The following is a 20,653-nucleotide window of genomic DNA, read 5'->3' on the forward strand; positions in this document are numbered from 1 at the left end:
TCATTTCCTCATATAGAAGTTCAACTAACAACTATCCACAGGCAAAAAAATACCATCATGAATATCTCAGAAATTGGGAGTAAGGTTGAGACATCCTCCTGGACCACAGAACCAAGAAAATCTATGATTAAACAGTAAGAGAAACAGTCCTCCTTGACCATGCTGCCCCTCCCCTAAGGTGTCACAGCACCACACAGAGAATTCCTTCCAAACTATGGTTTCTATAGGAGGAAAAGTGAGTTGGAAGTGGGCATTCAGCTTCCTCACCATTTTGGGACCTTTTGGGGACCTTTTTCGGACCTTTTTCAGGAGGCTCACTCCTGAAATGTTTCATGGGAAACATTGGGAGTACTGGCAGGGCTAGATCACCTGAGATCAGTTAGAAACAAAAATCATGGGTGGCATTCACAGTACCCAGTGTACAAGTGTTGGTGGTTGCTCTGCATTCCAGCCAATGAAAGTGCCACATCAGAAAAACTAGCCAACAGCATCACCCTGCAAGAAACATGGTCCATGGGTCTCCCAGGCACAAATCCTTAGCCAGCTTTCTCACACAGCCTAGGTGCTCTCTTTAAGTCTTCCCCAGGTTGAAAGACAACTGCAAGTCAGCAATTACCTGTGGAGAAAACATCAGGCCCTGCCCAACCCTGGTGGCAGAGAGGTGATCCAATTAAGTTTCAGTGCTCAAATTAAGTATTCCCCAAATCAGGAGGCAACTTCAGGGCAGCAATTACTCATGGGAGGAGCCCAACTCTAACAGTGGAGAGGTGATCCAACTAAGCTTTTTCCCTGTTAAAATAAATAAAAAGGCAAAGCATAATAATAGATTTTCTAGTACCTAAAACCACAATCTTGAGCAATTTCGAGCCTCCTGTATTTTCGCTTCCTTTAGAAAGCACTTTCTCTTCTACTTGTTTTGTTTCCTTCTGAATTTTGATCCTATTTTGATAGCAACTACTGTCTCCATTTGACAGAGAAGGATAACCTTAGCATAGAGAAGAAATAGGACTTTATAGAAGATGTGCAATGGTTCTGTTCTTCAACTCACTTCTAAATGGAGAAGAGATTCCTATGCATGTTGATAAAAGTCTTTTATTTTATCTATTATTCACCCCTAATCTAGAGCAGGATTTGAAAAACTAGTGGCCTGTGAGTACTTTCCATATGACAATGATGTATAATGCAAAGTGGAAGGCATTTCTAGGTGGGAATCAGGAGGTCTGAATTGTCTCACAAAATTGTCTTCTGAAATAGACATGAATTTATTCACATGTGACAAAAGTGGAAACTGATGTTCAGCGATGTAAAATCACTTCCCACACTTAAGACGGTAGTAAGTGTTGGAATTATCTTCCTAATTCTGGTCTTTCTGATTTCAACGTCAACATTCTCCTGTTAAAACTTGCAGCATGGGAATAACATACATGTTATTCACTCCTTCATTCACTTAATCCATCTGATACTGACACAAAAAGTTCTACCAACCTCAGGTACAATTACGAATGTGTGATCCTCCCACTTGCCAGATTAGAAAGAAGTCATTTGTTTTGAGATTCTAATTTTCCACTAAATTGCACTAAAACACAAACTGTACATTGTCAAAAAGGGTCATTCTTTCAAAATTACATTACAGCAGGCAGAGTACCAAATTCCAACCTGCAGCTACTGGCATGACTTATCATTCTAGGTTGTTGTAATGGAATACAGGTCATCATGGCAATATTGTCTCATTAGTCAAACTGCTTGCTCAGAGCACTACTATTCTTCAAAAAGGAATAATCTAACAACATAAGCCAAAGGGATTCCAGGCTGAGACTGGTGTTCAGTTTCACCATCACATTAAGCTACTGTTCCCCAGAGTATAGCACTGTGTTGAGGTGGCTGGATCTGGAAGCAATTCTGACAGCACTCACAGTAGGAGGCAACCAGCCCACCTCCAAGGAAATCTAGATCCAGCCTATCAGCATAGACTGTCTCATACTGAAGAATAATTTTATTTAAAGAGTCTCATTGCGTTTGTCTGCACCTGGGTAGTCAGTCATTCCACCCAGCTTCACTCTGATAATTCTCTCTTAATCACTATCTCAGGGAGAAAAGACAGTTTGTTGTCCCTTCTCTTTTAAAAAGCTGCAAGATCCTCATGCAAATTTATTCACCTCTTCTGCAGAGATCAACATTGCATACCATTCATCTAGAGACTGACACTCTTAATGAAGTTATACAAGTTTGCTATACGCTATCTCAACACAATGGCTATTTTACTCTTGCTATATATTTGCATAATTAAGTGGCCCACTTAAATAAGCCTTCACAAGAAAGTCAGCGACTTTTGATTAAGATTTTAAAACAAACAAAAACCAACGCTTTACTTTGGTACAGATCAATAAACATTTAAATGATATTTATGGAACATTTACTTGGTATCAGACATTGAATACAATGACCTGGTCTTGGCTTTCAGAGCTCACAGAGTAGTAAGTGGGTGAACAACTAGATCTCAGTACAAGAAAACATAGTAAATGCTAGAAGAGAGTAATATATGGAACACCCAAGAGAAAACAATTCATTTTATATTGGGAAAGGAGGGTAGGGGCAGTGGACAGTGAAGAGGCAACACTTAAACCAAGAGTTGAACATTTCACCAAGTGTAGAAATCAGGACAAATATCTATTTTTTGCAAAGGCAAGATAAGTTCATGTCCAATTGTGATGATCTTTTGGATATATCAATTTGGCTAGCCTACATTCCTCCATTATTAAGTAAAACACTAATCTATGTGTTGCTGTGAAAGCATTTTGTAGATGTGATTAAAGACCGTAAGCAGTTGCCTTTAAGTAAGGGAGATTATTTTAGATAATCTAGGTGGGCAAAATTCAATTGGTTGAATGAAAATCAGTGTTCTGGCTTCCTTAAGAGAAAGAAAAATTCCATCTGTGGAGAGAAGCTTCAGTCCATGTCCAAAAGTTCCAGTCTTTCTTTTCTGATGACTTGCCCTATGGATTTCGGACTTGCCTAGCCAGTCCCTACAATCACATAATCTAATTCATTGCAAAAAATCTTTTAATATTTATGTCCTACTGGTTCTGCTTCACTGGTTGACCTGATTAGTTGACTGATACAAATTTTGTTACCTAGAATTTGGATGCTGGGAAAACAAATACTTAGAAATGGCTTTGGAATTGGACAATGGGCAGAAGCTGGAAAAATTTTGAGGAGCATGACAGAAAAAGCTTAGATTGCCTTGAAGGGACTATTAGTAGAAATATGCACATTAAAGACTCTTCTAGTGATGGCTCAGAGGGAAATGAAGACCACTGTAGAAAGGCAATGTCTCAAGAGGTCAGGAAACTAAAAATACAAGTGAATAAGCCACTGCAAAGTAGAGCAGAGTTTTTGTCAATGCTAAGGTATTGAGGAATCCAAAAGTTGAAGGTCAAAACCTGCTTTAAGGAAAGCCCAATTGAACACCCAGGCCTGAGTTAGTACCCCCAGAGGGCTACACCTAGGAGTGGGGGCAAATACAAATTCAGATATATCCATGCAAACATAGCAAACCCAGCCTTGAAGAAACTCCATTCTTGATTATGATGACTTGTTCCTGCCTTAGATGCCTATTAGAGAAAAGGATAAACCCTCCATGGAGGAAAAGAGCATCCCCTAGAGCCTCTACAATTTTTAACACACAATGTCAGGTCTTCAATATAAAAGTAAGCATAACAAAAACCAAGATGAACAGAAAAAGATATTGAAATAGATCTACAAATGACTGGTCTTCAATATAGTAAATACCTACAGTAGACTATCACAAACTTGGAGACTTAAAAGAATATTCATTCATTATCTCAGTTTCTGAAGTTTTGAAGTCCATGCACAGTATACTGGGTCCTTTGTTCAGGATTTCACAAGGCTGAAATCAGTGAGGCTGCATTCCTAGCTTGGGGTCCTCTTCCAGGCTCATTCAGGTTGTTGGAAGAATTCAGTTCCTCGTGGTTGTTGATGTAATGGCCCCACTTTCTTCCTGACTCTACTAATCATGTGGTCCTCTCACAAGTTGGAAGCTTACTTCTTCAAAGCCAGAAGAACTTTTCTTCAGTCTGCTTTGAAGGAGTCTTATCAGAAGAGTGACTAGCTCATCCTCTCTGTTACATAATATAGTCTAATCAGTGATATCCTATGAAATTTACTGGTAGCACTCACACTCAAGAGGGAAGGGATCATACATGGAATGTGTACACTAGGTGGGAAGTGTGAGAAACATCTTGGGGGCCATTTTACAATTCTTCCTACTACATGACTCAAATATTGGTTTTATCTGAAACTAATATGTAAAATAAAATATATAGCAAAATGGGTAATTTCACCAAAGAAATTGAATAAATTAAAAATCTAAATAGAAATATTAGAACTAAAAAATGCAGTAAGTTAAATTTAAAACTTAATAGGTGGATTTAACAGCAAATTAGATGGAGGAAAAGAAAGAATTAGTCAAATGGAGTATAGATCAGTAGAAAATATACTAACTGAAACAAGAAGAGTAAAAAATATGGAAAATATAGAAAGAGGGTAAGATATATGTATATTTTACTAATATACATGTAATTGAAGTCCCAGAAGAGGACTAAAAAGAGAATAAGGCATAAAGAATAATTGAGGAGAAAAAATATATCAAGCAACCCAAGTGAGACAAATTCAAAGGAAACTACGGATAAACATATCATAGTCAAATGTCTGAAAACCAAAAAGAATAAAATTAAAACAGACAGAAAAAAATACATTAACTTCAAAAGAGAAATAAGACTTACTCTGGGGACTGTTGTGGGGTGGGGGGAGCGGGGAGGGATAGTATTAGGAGATATACCTAATGCTAAATGACGAGTTAATGGGTGCAGCACACCAGCATGGCACATGTATACATATGTAACTAACCTGCACATTGTGCACATGTACCCTAAAACTTAAAGTATAATAATAATTAAAAAAAAAAGACTTAAGGCTGATTTCTTAACAGAAATAATAGGAGCCAGAGAATAATGAAAGAATGTCTTTAAAGGGCTGAGAAAAATAACAATAAACACAAATGTAGACCTCTATACGCAGTGAATATAACCTTCGAAGTGAAGATAAGGTAAACACATCTCCAGACAAGAAAAAATTGAGGCAATTCATATCCAACAGATCTATATATCCACAAAAATAACCAGAGAAATTTTCAGACAGAAGGAAAATTATCCCAGATGGAAACCCAGAAATAGAGGCAGAAATTAGGAATAATAGAAATGGTAAATATGTTGGTAAATGAATATAGAGTAAACACAAAAAAAGTAAAGTTTTATAGATTTAAAGTATATGAAAAATTATAATGAATATTTTATTTTATTTTACTTATTATTATTATTTTTTGAGATGGAGTTTTGCTCTTGTTGCCCAGGCTGGAGTGCAGTGGCGTGACCTCAGCTCACTGCAACCTCCGCCTTCCAGGGTTCAAGTGATTCTCCTGCCTCAGCCTCCTGAGTAGCTGGGATGACAGGTGCCTGCCACCACGCCCGGCTAATTTTTTTGTATTTTTAGTGGAGACGGGGTTTCGCCATGTTGGCCAGGCTGGTCTCAAACTCCTGACCTCAGGTGATCTACCTGCCTCAGCCTCCCAAAGTGCTGGGATTACAGGCATGAGCCACCGTGCCTGACCTTATAATGAATATTTTAAAAAGCAATAGAGGATAAATGAATTTTAAGTGTTTAAAGATCTAGCGTTGTTGGAGAGATGGTAGAAATATTAATTTGTGTTAAATTTAATAAATTTGGAATTAGTCTTGTAATGTTCAGGATAACCACTTGAAGTATAATATAAGAATGTAAAACTAAAATTCTAATTAAGAGGAGAAATGGAATTTAGAAATATTTGCATATTTTTAAATAAAGCAAAAAAAGATAAATATTAAAAAGTGAGTCAAACAGAAAATACATATGTTTTAAAAGCACAAATATATCAGGAATTATATTTAATGCTAAGGCACTAAATACTCCAATTAAAAGACACACATTGTCAGATTAGAAAAAACCTATATGCTGCTTACATGTTATATACCTTAAATACAAGGACACAGAAAGGTTAAAACTAAAAGGATTTAAAAAGATAAACTATGCAAAAACTCAACAAAAGAGATGTAGTATAACTACACCAGTATCATCCAATATGGACTTTAACATAAGCAGTATTACTAGAGATAAGAGGCATATTTCATGATAAAGGGTCAATTCATCAGATGTAATAATTCTAAATTTGCATGCACCTAATAACATCAAATGTATACAGCAAAACTTTCCAGGAACAGGACAAAGAGAAATATAATTATAATAGGAAATGAACATGGCATAGAAAAACCCTCTGATCTGAGGCCAGTCTGTAACTCCCCTACTTCTCTATTTCCTGGTAGAATTCTAGAATTCATTTTTTCCCCACCTACACATTTAGGTTTTTGGCTTTCCTTTGCTTTTATTATGCCACTACCCCATTCCTTCCATCTCCTTCAACTGATCACTGAATACCCTTATCCTACATAATCTCCAAGGCCCAGCTCAAGAATCACCTTCTTGGTCAGGCACATGGCTCATGCCTATAATCCTGGAACTTTGGGAGGCCAAGGCGGGTAGATCACTTGAGGTCAGGAGTTGGAGACCAGCCTAGTCAACATGGTGAAAAGCCATCTCTACCAAAAATACAAAAATTAGCAGGGTGTGGTGGTGTACATTTATAATCCCAGCTGCTTGGGAGGCTGAGGCAGGAGAATCACTTGAACCAGGAGGCAGAGGTTGCAGTGAGCAGAGATCGCACCACTGCACTCCAGCCTGGGTGACAGAGTGAGACTCCATCTCAAAAAAATAAAAATAAATTTAAAAATTACCTTTTCCATGAAGCTTTCCCACATTCCCCTTTTTGGGAGTATGGAATTTCTCCCACCTCAAAATTCAGAAATTTTTTCACATTTCTTGGCATTTTCTACCTTACATTCTAATTATTTTTGCACATGTATTAATTTCTTCTTTTATTAAGGCAGGGCTTCCATGGGCTTCCATTTTGCTTGGATTATACCTGACAGAACCGAATCCAAACCATAATGAGAGCTCACTAAATATCTGTTAAATAAATGAATGCTGACTCTTCCCAGAACCTTTCTCCCAAAAGTGCCAGCCAACTCTAAACTGTGTGTGTGAGAGAGAGAATTAGAAATTAGAATTAGAAATCTGGCTTTGGAGAAAATGAGCCCCAGATCAGAGCAGAGTTTCCCAAGCCAGAAAACTTTTCTAACTTTTGTAGTCGACCATGTCATGCTAAACGGGCTCCCTGGAAGCTGTGACAGAATTTCACGGACACATAAAAACCTGTCTTGCCAACTGCTTGAGGCCCTGGTCATCCACTCAAGCGACAGCAGACCTCACTGGCCAGAGCCCACCACTCTGTCTTATCTCAAATTCAAATAATTCATTACAGCTATCATACTGCTATTTATCTAACCCTTGATTTTCCTCTGCCTGAGCAAAACAGTGAGAAAAGGGAAAAGTAACTGAGATCTCAGAATTACATGAGCATGTCTTGGCCACCCAGCTCTGCCAAAATAGCTGCTTGACTTGGATTGGATGCCTCAAAGTCATTTTTATAACGGAAATAATAACACTACTTATTTTGTAGGTTGTTATGAGAATTAAATGGGAAAATCCATATGAGGCCACCCAATAATGCCTGTTTTAAAAGATTAGCTTCTTCCCTTCTCCACCTTCCCACCACTTAAGAGGCCAGCAGATCACTTCCCTTATTCAGAATAAACTTTGGTGGGAGACAGGAGATGATGACAAATTCACATCCATCATCTCCCTGGATAAGAAAAGAGATTCATGCTGGCTGGCTGGCATTTCCAGAGCCTTGCAGCCATTCCGAGGATTCCGTGTGCACTGGATAAAACTGGATTTCCAATAAAATACTCCATGCCTGGGCATCGCCCAGCCACAAGCGCTGACTATTGCCCAAAATTAAGCTGAGTTTGCCATCTAGAGGACATCAGCGGACAGGCAGGGCCCGATATGGACTTCAGCAGTGACTCACTGGGCACCCGGAACAGAGATGAAGCTTCATTCCTTCACTGACAAATGTTTGTTGAGAATCTGCTATAAACCAGCCACTGTAGGAACAGGGCATGATGCAGCCTCTGTCCTCAATGAGCTCACAATCCAGTGGAGAGTTCACACTAAATTGATTTCATTGTCCAAAATGAGACTTGGTTTCTGAAAGGAGGAAGAGTTCCTCCTCTAACAGTACAAAACGAATTTGCTCACTGATAAATCAGACAGCCAGTAAGTAGAATAGCTGAGCTGTGTCTTGGCCTCGGGGATTGGATTCCAATTTTCTAGACACTCAAGCTGAGTTGGATATCAGAGGAGCCCACCTTCTCATTTTGCAGCCAAAGAGAGGTAAAGTGAGCCAACCAGGGCCTCGCAGCTAGAAAGTAGCACAGCCACTCTTGCAATGTCCGTGTTTCTTCCAAGTGGCTGAATTATGCCTGAAGCAGCCAGACACCAGAGCAGAGCGGACAGAGACGGGGGTGCACAGAGCTTTCTGAACTGGGTGTTCGTCAAGGGCAGGTTTGCAGAAGCCAGGAGTTTTTATATCTTGTTGAGGCCCTCACTTGCCAACGATGGAATAAATGAGGAACTTTGGCCTCTGGCTAGATTCACATAGCTCTTCTCACCCTATAAATCTGATTCATTTAAAGAAAGTCCCTCTGACTTTCATGGATGTTCCTTCAGTTGCCAGGAATGTCTGTGTATTTGGAACTGTGCTTATAGTCTAAGAATCTCTTAGCTTTTGAAAGGTGGCAATGTGGCTACACGTAATTCAGGACATTTAAACTGGAAGGGAAATCTCTTTTCCAGAAGCAGGAACGTACTTCAGGATACTAAACATTGCACCAACATTATGTGCTTTTCAGACCTCATTATTGCATTTGTGGCCAGTTTTGGCTTATCCACATAGTCATTAAACAAGCATACATTCTGTGCTTCTTATGTGCCAGGCGCTGTACTTATGTGCCATTGCTTTATGAGCAAAGCGCTGAGGATACAGTGATGAACAAGACAGTCATTGCCACTGCCTTCATGGAGCTTACAAGTCATTATCCAGAAAATTATGTCAAGTTATGATGAGTCCATAACAAAAAGAAAAAAGAAGGCTCCTCTGAGTAAATGCCAAAGACTACTTAGCTGCAGAATAAAACTGGATTTGTAATAAGCTTTTCTACTCACTCCCTATTTGTCCAGATTATCCTGTACATATTTGCTTAACTTTCTCCTCAACATTTTTGGGGGTTTTTGTTTGTTTGTTTGTTTCGATTTTTGTTACAGTTGATATTGTATTTATTACCCACAAGATTCTCAGCTTCTTGAGGTCGGGGAAAAATTCTCATTTATTCCAAGATCTTCCATGCCTACTAAATAGTAGGTGCTGATAGTATTATTTTAATAAATAAGTGAAAGGATTAAATTGATTTCATCAGTCTGTCAATCAATTTCAAATACGACTGATAAAACCACATTTATAGTCTTTAATATGTGATGCTGAGACTGAGGCATAGTCAATGACAATAGGTGAAATTGTTAAAGTTACATTTCTATCCAAGTGTATCATTGCAAGTCCTCCACCATTTATTACACACCCAATCTGTCAGATATGATGCCGGATGCTGTCTGGAGCAGGAGATGAGCACTTACATACATAAACATAAAATGTTCAAGGTATTTCAGAGGGGAGCACACCTAACACTAGCAGGAATGATCAATGTTATGGAAATACAAATAACCACTAATCACTGCTAAAATCCAAACAAACCTAAAATCTAACCATAATCATTGGAAATAGCTGCCTCCATGGAGCGCTGTGTCCCAGGAGTGAGGTGCAGATTGTGAATATGTCCAAAGACTGTGTCACAAGTGAACAGAAACTTGCCAGAGTACACTCAGTATCTACACACATAAATAGGAAACATTGAGTAATCACTGATGGTACTCTCCAGCTTGGTTTTAAATGAAGCCAGTTTTAGAGAAAGAGCCATAATATCTCTTCTCACTGCATCATATCCTTCATACCCCATCCACCTGGAGCACTTTTACTCACTATTTAAGTCTTTGGTCAAGTCAAACTTTGACTTTCACAGCTCTCCACAACCCTTGAAAAGTTAGCCCCCAAAGGATAGTGTACATACTTCTAGTCATAAGTTTTCAACAGCAAAGACTAGTTAGTACAAAAAAAAAAACAAGCTATGATTTCAAGAGCATCTACTATGTGCCCAGCACTGAGCTAGGCACTTTCTCAGAATGATCTCTTTTACTTAGCATAAAAACACTACGTGGCAGGTGTTATTAACTTCAGTGTATACATTTTTTTTAAAATGATGTTGAGAGAGGCTAGGTCACTTATGAGAAATCAGCTAATTAATAGTAGAACTAGAATATTCATCCAGGCCCATCTCCTCCAAATCCCACTTTCTGCCCTCTTTCCTAATGTTTCTCAAAATATTAAATACGAAGTATAGATACTGTTTTCTCTACTTTGCTAATTTTTATGCTTTATCTTTCATTGATGGCAAGTGGTACTGCTTTTCAAATTATGGTGAGTATGTAAAGTTTCCTATTTAAAGAGATTAAGTTATTTTTTGGATGAGAGTTTAAAAGAAATCTGTTATGTAAGTAATAGCACAATTGATGTGTGGCTATACCAAAAGCCATGCATGTGACACATCACTGACTGATGTCTGGGAAACACTGCTTTGCCCGGTAAGTGCTTCTCAACTTCCTTCATTTCTCACGTTATTTCTTGATCTCGTTACCTCTACACCAGTGCCTCTCACCTCTGGGTGCACATAGAATTATGCAAGAATACTGATGTCCAAGCCCCCTTCTTGCCCAATTAATTAAGAAATTCTGGGAGTGAGACCTAAACACTGCTATTTTTTCAAAACTCCCCAAATAATTCTAGTAGCAGTCAGGGTTAAGAACTACTGCTACAAACTATGAACCCCTTTGGGTATGCCCAGTGCACAGCACACTGCCTGGCACATAGTAGGAGATCAACAATGTTTGTTAAATAAGAAATGATGTTATCCTGGATTCTACCAAGTCCAGCATTCTTAAATGAATCACTGGGGCCATATTTCAGATCCTATCTCTCCAACATGTTCAAGAGTATGTGATGAGGCCTCTGTATAGGCAATCAGTCTGTTACAGAGTGAGACTATATTGTGAGCAAGCCAACATTAAATAATTCCCAATTCCTCATTTCCATCAGGGTGCTGACTTTCCTCCTACTCTGTCTGCAGAAGGATTTGAGGCCATTTCACCCATCCACAAGCAGGAGGCAGCCATGCTGTGGGCAACCCTGTATCTAGAGGTGGTCTCAGCAGAGCCACTTCCTCATTGCATGCCTGGTACTCTTGAACTCCTCAGAGTTACCTGCTTGTGAACTTAAGCAAAGCAGATAAGGCCTAGCTCCCAGCTAAGGATCTGTGAGGTAGACGGGAAAAAAGAATGGACTTTAGGAACAAACAGATCCAACATTAAATTTCATATCCATCACCTCAGATAAATCACTTACCCTCTGTGAGCACCCACTTCCTCATATTAAAATAAAAATTATTATATAGGTTTTACAGTATTGTTAAGGATTAGAGATACTGAATGGAAGCTTCCCACTAGTGTTTGGCACATGGCAGGTGCTCCACAGAGGTGTATATGGCTTTTCCATAGTTGAAGGGAGGAATGAATGAGGAGATATATAAAGCTACACAAGGTTATTACAAATACAAGAGGTCATACATTTCTCTCTTTTCCTTCTTTTTAAAGCCCCCTGTTTTAAGAAAACATAGCACTTTTACCACACTTGACCAGTTCCTTTAGCTGTTGTTCGTTCCCCAAAGAAAGATTAACTCAACAAGAAGATTCTTCAAGGCTTAGAAATGCATGTCACTTTACTGACATAACTTTAGGTAACAAATAGACTTTTATAATAATTCTATTATTGTACTTTAGTTGAAAAGGATACAAATGTTGAAAATTAAAGAGACTTTGTTTTGTTTGTGTTTGAAACACAAAGCCTGAGAAAGAGCTAATTTGTGTGGTAAAATCTAGGGTTTAAAATATTTCCCAAAGGACAAATTAAAGTAACTCCTTGGACCCTTATTTTACTAAGAACAAAACACATCTCCACCAGAGAGGCATTGCTTCCAAATCTTTCAAACAGCCAGACTTAAATCTCAGGACTGTGTTTTCATTATCCACATAGAAGGGAAATCCTCCCTCCTGCTTATTGAGCAAATTCTCCTTGAGTTCCTGCTAGGTGCAATGCACCATTTCAATCAAACTTTTTTTTGATATGGAGTCTCACTCTTGTCGCCCAGGCTGGAGTGCAATGGCGCATTCCTGGCTCACTGCAACCTCTGCCTCCTGGGTTCAAGTGATTCTCCTGCCTTAGCCTCCTGAGTAACTGGGCCTACAGGCCTGTACCGCCATGCCCAGCTAATTTTTGTAATTTTAGGGAGATGGGGTTTCACCATGTTGACCAGGCTGGTCTTGAGCTCCTGACCTCAGGTGATCCACCCGCCTCGGCCTCCCAAAGTGCTGGGATTACAGGTGTGAGCCACCACGCCGGGCCCAACAATATTTTTTAATACTCACCATGCAAACGCAACTATTTTAAATATCTTATCTTTTAATCCTCTTTCTTTTATCTTATGGCAAATTATTTGCACCAAGTTATAGCATTATTATCATCAGCATCACTACCACCATCACCATCATAACTACCAATTACTATGTAAACTCTGCTAAAGTGTTTTACAGACATCATCTTAAATCCAATCCTTTCATCAGCCTTAAGACGTACACGTCCTTAACACTTAGTTTATAGAGTAAGAAGCCAAAGCTTAGAGAAAAAGACCTTGATTAAGGTCACTTAGTAAATAAGTGATGAAGGTGGGACTAGAAATCATGTTTACTTTTGCCTAAAACCAAAGTCTGCTTAATCCAGGTGAACTCAGGGACTATAGAAGTCACTGCTGAGATGAAGTTTGTCATGGTGCATAGAGTGCCAAAGCAATGACAAATAAAGGGATTTAGCGGCAAATTTTTATTTGGATATTCAACTCATTGCTTTGGACTGTTTCAGCATACACAGGTCTTTCCACAAAGGTCCTATTGTTTTCCTATCTCGAAAACACAATTTATAGGGAATTATCATGGCAGGATCCGTAAAGATCATCTAATCCAATCCCTCCTTATGCCAAGACAAGGAAGTAAAGTCTAGAGATTATAGTTGCTTTGCTTAAGGTCACATAGCAAGTCATCAATACAGCTGTGACCAGGGCTCTGGACTCCTGACTCCCATTTCAGTGTTCTTTCTGATATGTTTCCTTCTGTATAAACAATGCTATTTCCATCTTACATCTGATGTTTAGAGTTGTCTTAACTGGTCTGATTATAATAAATTATGTAAAATAAAACATTTAACAAATTATGTGATTAGCCCTAGATAAACTCAAATGGAGAAAGAAGAGGAGGGGAAAAGACACTTCTAGCTAAAAAAACATCAAAAACAATGACAGAGTCATGAAATAAATCCAACTTAGTGTGTTCATAAAAGGGAATTCATCTGGTATAATTTGAACAGACACAGCAAGGGGAGTAAAGAGAGAGAATAAATTATTCTTCCCCTGAAGCCCATTCTAGGACCCTGGAAATACAAAAGTGACCATAACATGGTCCCAGTCTTCAGAAAATTTATAGACTAAGGGCTTATATCAAAAAAGAAATAGGTATTTACAATACCATATAAGTGCTGTGATAGATGTTAAGTCCAAGTTGCTACAGAAGCACAGAGTAGGAGCTTACAATCCAGATTTAGTGGGGAGTTCCTGGAAGAAGTGGCACTAAGCAAAGTCCTAAGGGATGAGTAAGGCTGGTAGAGGACAAAGTCAATGAAACATTCATGACAGAAAAAAGAATCACCTTAAAGGCATAATGGTTTGTCTTCAGTACAGCCCAGAGTTCAATATGGCAGGTCACAGAGTGAAGAAGAGATTGTAAAAAGCCAGTCTAGAGTAAAAGGAAAGCAAAGACCAGGATGCACTGGACCTTATACATTGTGCTTGTTATTTGTGATATTATCCTAAGGACAGAGGGGACCATTGAGAATATTTAAGCAACTGGATGACATGATTAAATGCATTCTTTAGATAGATCATTATGACTGCTGACTGGTGGATGGAATGAAAGAGGGCAAGACTGTAAGCAGAGAGACTGGTCAGCTAGCCACGACAATATTCTACACGAGGAATAGCAAGGGCATAAGCTATAAGCTTAGGAGAAGTAGGGGGCAATCAAGCAATATGAACAAAGTGAAATCTTCATGTCTGAGAGATTGATTGGATGTTGAGAAGGAGGAGTTAAGAATAACTCCCAACTTTCCAAAGGGGGTCATTGGAGACATAATGGGTTGCTCAGCAAGATAAGATATGTCCCGCTGCATAACGTATGTCCCTGAAAACATGAAGGCCTGAAGTTGAGAACAGTGTTTTGTTGACACTATGTGAACAGTTTCTAAAAGGAAAATGTTTTTGAGATTTTCACTGCACAAGATATCTGAGCCTAACTAAAAGACTCAATTGAATAGATAGAATAGGTTGTAATGTCAGTCATTTTAAAGAGTGAGGGGAATAGATCTCACCAAGTTTATATCTTGTCATATGATTTGGCTTTCATGGCCTAAATACAAATCAAGATGTACTAGATTCTAAAGCCATTTAATCTTGCCCAAGTATGTAAAGGGACGAGATTGGGAAAGCAAAGCATTCACAATATTTCAGCAGGAATCATTAGATATCTTGGACACTTTACACAAAACACAATCCTAATGAGTGAATCATGAATTAGTAGACCCTGAGAGCGAGGACTTCTCCTACCCCAATGTCAAGACAATTTAAACTTCATGCAGAACGTGTCTGGCTACAAGAGTTCCGGCTTTTGCCAAACCTCATAGAATGAATTGGAACCATTTTACAGACCTCTACATTCTTATAGGGCTCCCCACCCTGAGCTCCGGTCCCTCTAATGCTGTGTTTCTGTGTGGATGATAGCTCTTGGGGCCTCGGGTTTGATTCAGTGCATGCCAGGACTTGGAGACATTTTAAACAAGTTAGAATCCATGTGTTGCCTTCAATTAAAGGTTTTGTAAGGCAAAGGGACACCAACTCAGCCACCAAATATTTGGGTCTGGGGAAGTTTCTTCAACCTTTCTGACAGGCCAAGTGTGATGTGGCAAGCCTGGCTCCTGTCAAAAGCAATGAATGAGACAGAAATGAACATTGTGAAAATTAGGCTTGTCACCAACCTAAGCCACTGAACATTCAAATGCGTGGCATGCAAAGTGTGGTTTGAACATCATAGCCTGGAAAGCAATAAGAATTCTTGGTAGGATTTGGGTAATTATGAGAAATGCTTGAAAAAAAATCAACCTCAATGTAAAAATGAATAATTAGAAAAATATCAATGGTCAGATAGAGGGTAGGAATCGGTAAAGAATATACAATTTCTATGTAGACTCAATATTGGTTTGCTTACCAAATTCATTCATTCTGTGAGTATTTACCCAGCCTGAACTTTGAGTGTATTTGGAAGTATTATGGAGGCTATAAAAGACTTAGATGTAAAGAAAGGTTTGAGTGAAGAGAGTGCACCAAAAACTCTAATACTAGTGAAAAGTCATAAATTTCCCAAAAATATCTATTTTCAAAGTCATCATTGGGTAAAGAGTATGGGGCTTGGGAAGTCCAGTATCTGACAGTCTTGGCTCTCCTATTTACGTAATACGTAACCTTGGATATTATGGTAAAGACTGACATGCAGTGCCTGGCATATTGCAGATATTCAATACGTTCTCAATGAATGGATGAATGAATTAGCAATGCTTCTTTTTTATTAGACAGAGTCTTACTCTGTCATCCAGGCTGGAGTGCAGTGGCATGATCACCACTCACCACAGCCTCAACTTCCTGGGCTCAGATGATCCTCCCACCTCAGCCTCTCAAGTAGCTGGGACTACAGATGCATGCCACCACACCAGGCTAATTTTTGTATTTTTGGTAGAGATGGGGTTTCTCCATGTTGCTCAGGCTGGTCTTGAATTCCTGGGCTCAAGCAATCCTCCTGCCATGGCCTCCCAAAGTGCTGGGATTACAGCAGCCATTGCACCCAGCCATGAGTGCTTCTTATGGGCCACACAATGTGCTAAGTGTATGCACATTCTCTCATGAATTATAAACACCCTATGAGGCAGCTACTACTATTGTTCCTATTTTACAAATAAGAAAATTAGAGTTTAGAGAGTTTACGTACCTTGCATAGGGTTGCACAGCTAGTGAGTAAGCAAGCCAAAACTCAAATCCAGCCTTTTTCATTCCAAAAACAGAATCTCAAATCTCTGTCTTAGAATAAATTGTTCTTATATGGAATAGGAATAGAAAAAAATCCCAGGAGAAACTGAGAAAATCAGTTTTACCTGAATCACCATCAAGCCTACCAGTTTCTACTCAACTGAGCTAGTTCACACAAGGTAAACAGCTACATGGACCTCTGAAGTTGACTTTATGGTGAGAAAGCATCCTTAGTCCTTATTAGAGGCTATGAGACAGGGACTGAGCAAGTAGCTTTCATACTTATTACCATAGTGAACCCTCCCCACAACCCAGGAAAGCAGGCATTGGTGCTCCTGTTTTACAGAAGCAGTAGAGACACAGTTTGAGCCCAGGCTTATCGAGATTATATCATAATACAAGTTCCATCCAACCCCAGGTAAAAATTAAAGGACTTGCTGGCCCAGATGATACTTTGCTCTCTTCTTGTTGAAGATCATGACCTTTTAGGGAAAGGAACATTTGCAAAGTGTGGACCTGCTATCAAAATGATACTGGTAACTGGGCTTTGCAGTGAAGATCACTGCTAATCATGTCAGAAAAAATGGGTTCCTGGAAGGGAAAGTCACCATCTCATCAATGACAAGGACAACAGCTGGGCAGGCAAACTGATGAACTAGACTTCAAATCAAAATTTTAGAAAAAGAAGGCCGGGCACAGTGGCTCATGCTTGTAATCCCAGCAGTTTGGGAGGCCGAGGTGGGTGGATCACTTGAGGTCAGGAGTTTGAAACCAGCCTGGCCAACATGGCGGAACCCCATCTCTACTAAAAATACAAAAATTAGCCAGCATGGTGGCAGGTGCCTGTAATCCCAGCTACTTGGGAGGCTGAGGCAGAAGAATTGCCTGAACCTGGGAGGCAGAGGCTGCATTGAGGCAAGATCGCACCACTGCACTCCAGCCTCAGTGACAGAGCAAGACTCCATCTCAATAATAATAATAATAATAATAATAATAATAATAACATTTTAAAAGAAGGGGCAAAAGTGATCCTGTACAACTGAAAACTAGAAAGAATTAAAATCATGAAAGACTCTGGAGACACACAGGAAAAGAAACAAAGTCAGCAGCATTGCCAAGAAGACGAAAGAAAACACAACAAACAATTCTAAGGCCTCTAGATGCTTCCATCCAACAAACATACTGGTTAGAAATGTAGAACTAAATTAAATCCAAGAGTTTCTATCAGGTATCATGTTGTAACATGAGGTAGGAGCACAGAAAGAAACCATGATACAGATACCATCATAGGTAAAAGCAGTGGCTCTAAGTCAGACTTGACTTCATGTCTCATCTACCATTTCTAGGTGAATAATTTGGGCAAGTGGCTTAAGCTTTCTGAGCCTCAATTGCCCTAACTGTAAAAGAAGGTTAATAACATTGCCTCATTGGGTTACTGTGATGATTAATTTTTTGAGTGTAAAATGCTCAGCATATAATAAAATGCTCAATAAATATTGAACATAGTATATTACCATTGAGAATATTACAAAGTATGAAGGAAGCAGATCAGAGACAGTTCCTGAAACAAGATGTTTTAGCTATGTCTTGAGGGAATGTAAAAGTTCATGAGGTAGAGACTTTCTGGGGTGGGTGAAGTAGCAATGAATGGTTGGGGGGGTGAGGTGAGGGTGACAAGGTAGGTTGGTCTCTTTGCCTCCAGTGTTGCCCAACCCCATTCATTATCCATTCCATCTCCAATCATTTTCCATTCTATCTCTGAGCACAAACCCAATCCTGCCACCACCCCTGCTTAAAACCTGTGAATGACTGTGTTTGGATTCAGGGTAACATTTAAACTCTTAGCATGCAGCCTCCGAGTAATGTGCTCATTCCATGTCTATTTATTTAGCATCTACTGTATGTCAGGACCTGTTTTGTGAAGAATAATAAATGGGCCTTGACTATGAGAAATTCACAGACCAGTGGAGAGAAAGATGAAGGACAAACAGGTTCAGTATATTACAGTCAGAGCTATGATAGGTATATGCCTACAACACTGTGATGAAGAAAAATCTCATACCTCTTTTAGATTGGTAGTCTCATGGAAAGCCTTACAGTAGAGATATGGTTGAGCTGAGTTTTCAAAACTAAATAGGAGAAGAATAGGAAAATATCTAGAGAAAATATAGGGAACAGCATACAGAAAAGGACAGAGGCAACACAAACTGCATTTCAGTGGTATTCCTAAGAGTCCATTGTTGCTGGAGCTTAGAGAGGTGCACAAGTCAGGCTGTAAGAGACAAGGGGGACTAGTAGCCAGCCAGAGACTAGATCAGTGTTCTTGGATGCCATGCTAAGGAGCTTGCCCTTTATCTTGTGAATAACAGAGAACCAGAGAAAGGTCATGTTCAGTGCTGCGAATATGGTCTGAGCAGGGGCCAGAAGAGAGGGAGAGGGATCACTGAGGGGCTCTTGCAATAATCTGGGCTATCCAAGATGAATGAATGAATAAACAGATGAATGAATGATCATATAGATGAATGGTTCTGATAAGTTCTGCTGGAGTTTCTACTCACATGAGAAAAGGAAGTGGCTTTCACATGCTTTTCAACTGCTCTCCCTTCCCCCACCCCCAGCACTCATGAATGGTTTCTCTCTTTTGCACGCATGTGTGTCTCTTCCTCATATACTGATTTCAGAGCTGCAGCCTAAGCGTCTTGTATTGTGCTGGTTATATTTAAACAATTCACTGTGCGAGGCAAGTGCCCAAACCAATTAAATAGAAATCTTCAAGAGTCCCAGGCAGAGAATAGAAATCAACAGTCAAGGTAGAGTTTGGACCAAAATGGTCATCAATTAGAGCTATTCTAAGATTGCTCTGACTATAGAAGAGTAAAATTGAGGGTGCTGAGAACAGGCAAATGTCTGAAAAGTGGGCACAAATTGTTAGCAAATGTGGCTCTCAGATATGCCACATAAATGCAGAGGCCAAGGCTAGTTGTCTTTGATTCATTGATTTACTAGCATTAATACACAAAATTATATGTGTGCCATACAGTGAATAGTAGATGCAAAGATGAGTAAGACACAGTGTATACCTTCAGGAAGCTCCCAGTTTAGTGGAGCTGAATGGGAAGCCAGTTAAGCATACTACATTGCAATAGCTGCTGAGACATATGAAAAATAAGGGAGCACTTCATTCTACCTTGGAGTAAAGACAGCCTTGACATGAAAGTCCAGCAGGATCTAGAAGGGTGAGTTAGGCTTTGTAAAATCAGGTAAACAGCTCATACAAAGACATAAAGGTGTGAAAATGAGGTAGGACTTGGAGAACTAGAAAAATAATTTGGCCAAATCTGAACACTTAAAGCTGAGATCCTTAGTTGATGATCTCTTTGTCACTCCCTCTTGCACTCAGGACAATGGTTTCAAAAGGCAGTTCCCTACTCTTGACAACAGAAAGGCTGGGGGGCAAACACTGTCTTCAGATAGTAAAGAGATACTGCTAATCAGCACATCAGGAAACCTATGACCCAACCATTGTTAAAAATGAAAGCAATTAGGTACAGTCCTTCTACAGGGAACTTCCTAAAATACATGTCTGAGATTATGAGCTTGTTCAGTTGCATGAGAAACAACAGGGAAAGCTAAACTTCTTTCCCAAGGCTGGCACTTACTTAGTTGAATGACCTTAGAAAGGTAAGAAACTCCCTGAATCTCTGTTTCTTAATCCATAAAGGGGGATGAGTACTTGTGTGATAATTCCCACTCCATAGGATTATTGCGAGAATTAAATATGACATATATAAGATGATCATGCACAGAGCCTAACACATGTAATGAACAAATGTGAGCCCCCTTACCTTCCTCCTGTCCCCTTCAGTCCTGGACTGAGTTCAATGCACACATCTTGCACAGAATAGATGTTCATATATTCTTGGTTTAAGTGCCTATCAACCTTCATATAATTCCACTGGGTCTACTGAAAGATGGCAGAAGACGGACAGTCATAGTGTTTACTATGGGCCAAATCCTTCTCCCATATTTGCTCCTTTAATTTTCCCAATTCAATGAAGTAGCTCAGTGAAGTAGCTCAATGATGTAGCTCGGTGAAGTGCCCCACTTTGCAGTTGACAAGTTCTAAGGCTCAGAGTTGAAGTGACATCCGAGGTCATTCAGCTAGTGACATGGCAGAGTTCTGT

General features: G+C 39.4%; 1 long non-coding RNA gene across 4 annotated transcripts in view, besides 1 other annotated feature; it reads right to left on the reverse strand.

The window, feature by feature from the left end:
• The window catches only part of CCDC26 (CCDC26 long non-coding RNA), a 328,546-nt gene that overhangs the window by 176,226 nt on the left and 131,667 nt on the right, over window positions 1–20,653 (reverse strand). The window lies entirely within an intron of this gene.
• Window positions 20,324–20,373: a silencer, noted in NCBI's record as "silent region_19539". NCBI's record gives its function as "represses an Ori minimal core promoter by ATAC-STARR-seq in GM12878 lymphoblastoid cells {active_cell/tissue: GM12878}" and the evidence as "EXISTENCE:reporter gene assay evidence [ECO:0000049][PMID:35858748]".

The sequence above is a fragment of the Homo sapiens genome, chromosome 8 (assembly GCF_000001405.40).
Source record: "Homo sapiens chromosome 8, GRCh38.p14 Primary Assembly".
Classification (NCBI taxonomy): Eukaryota; Metazoa; Chordata; class Mammalia; order Primates; family Hominidae; genus Homo; species Homo sapiens.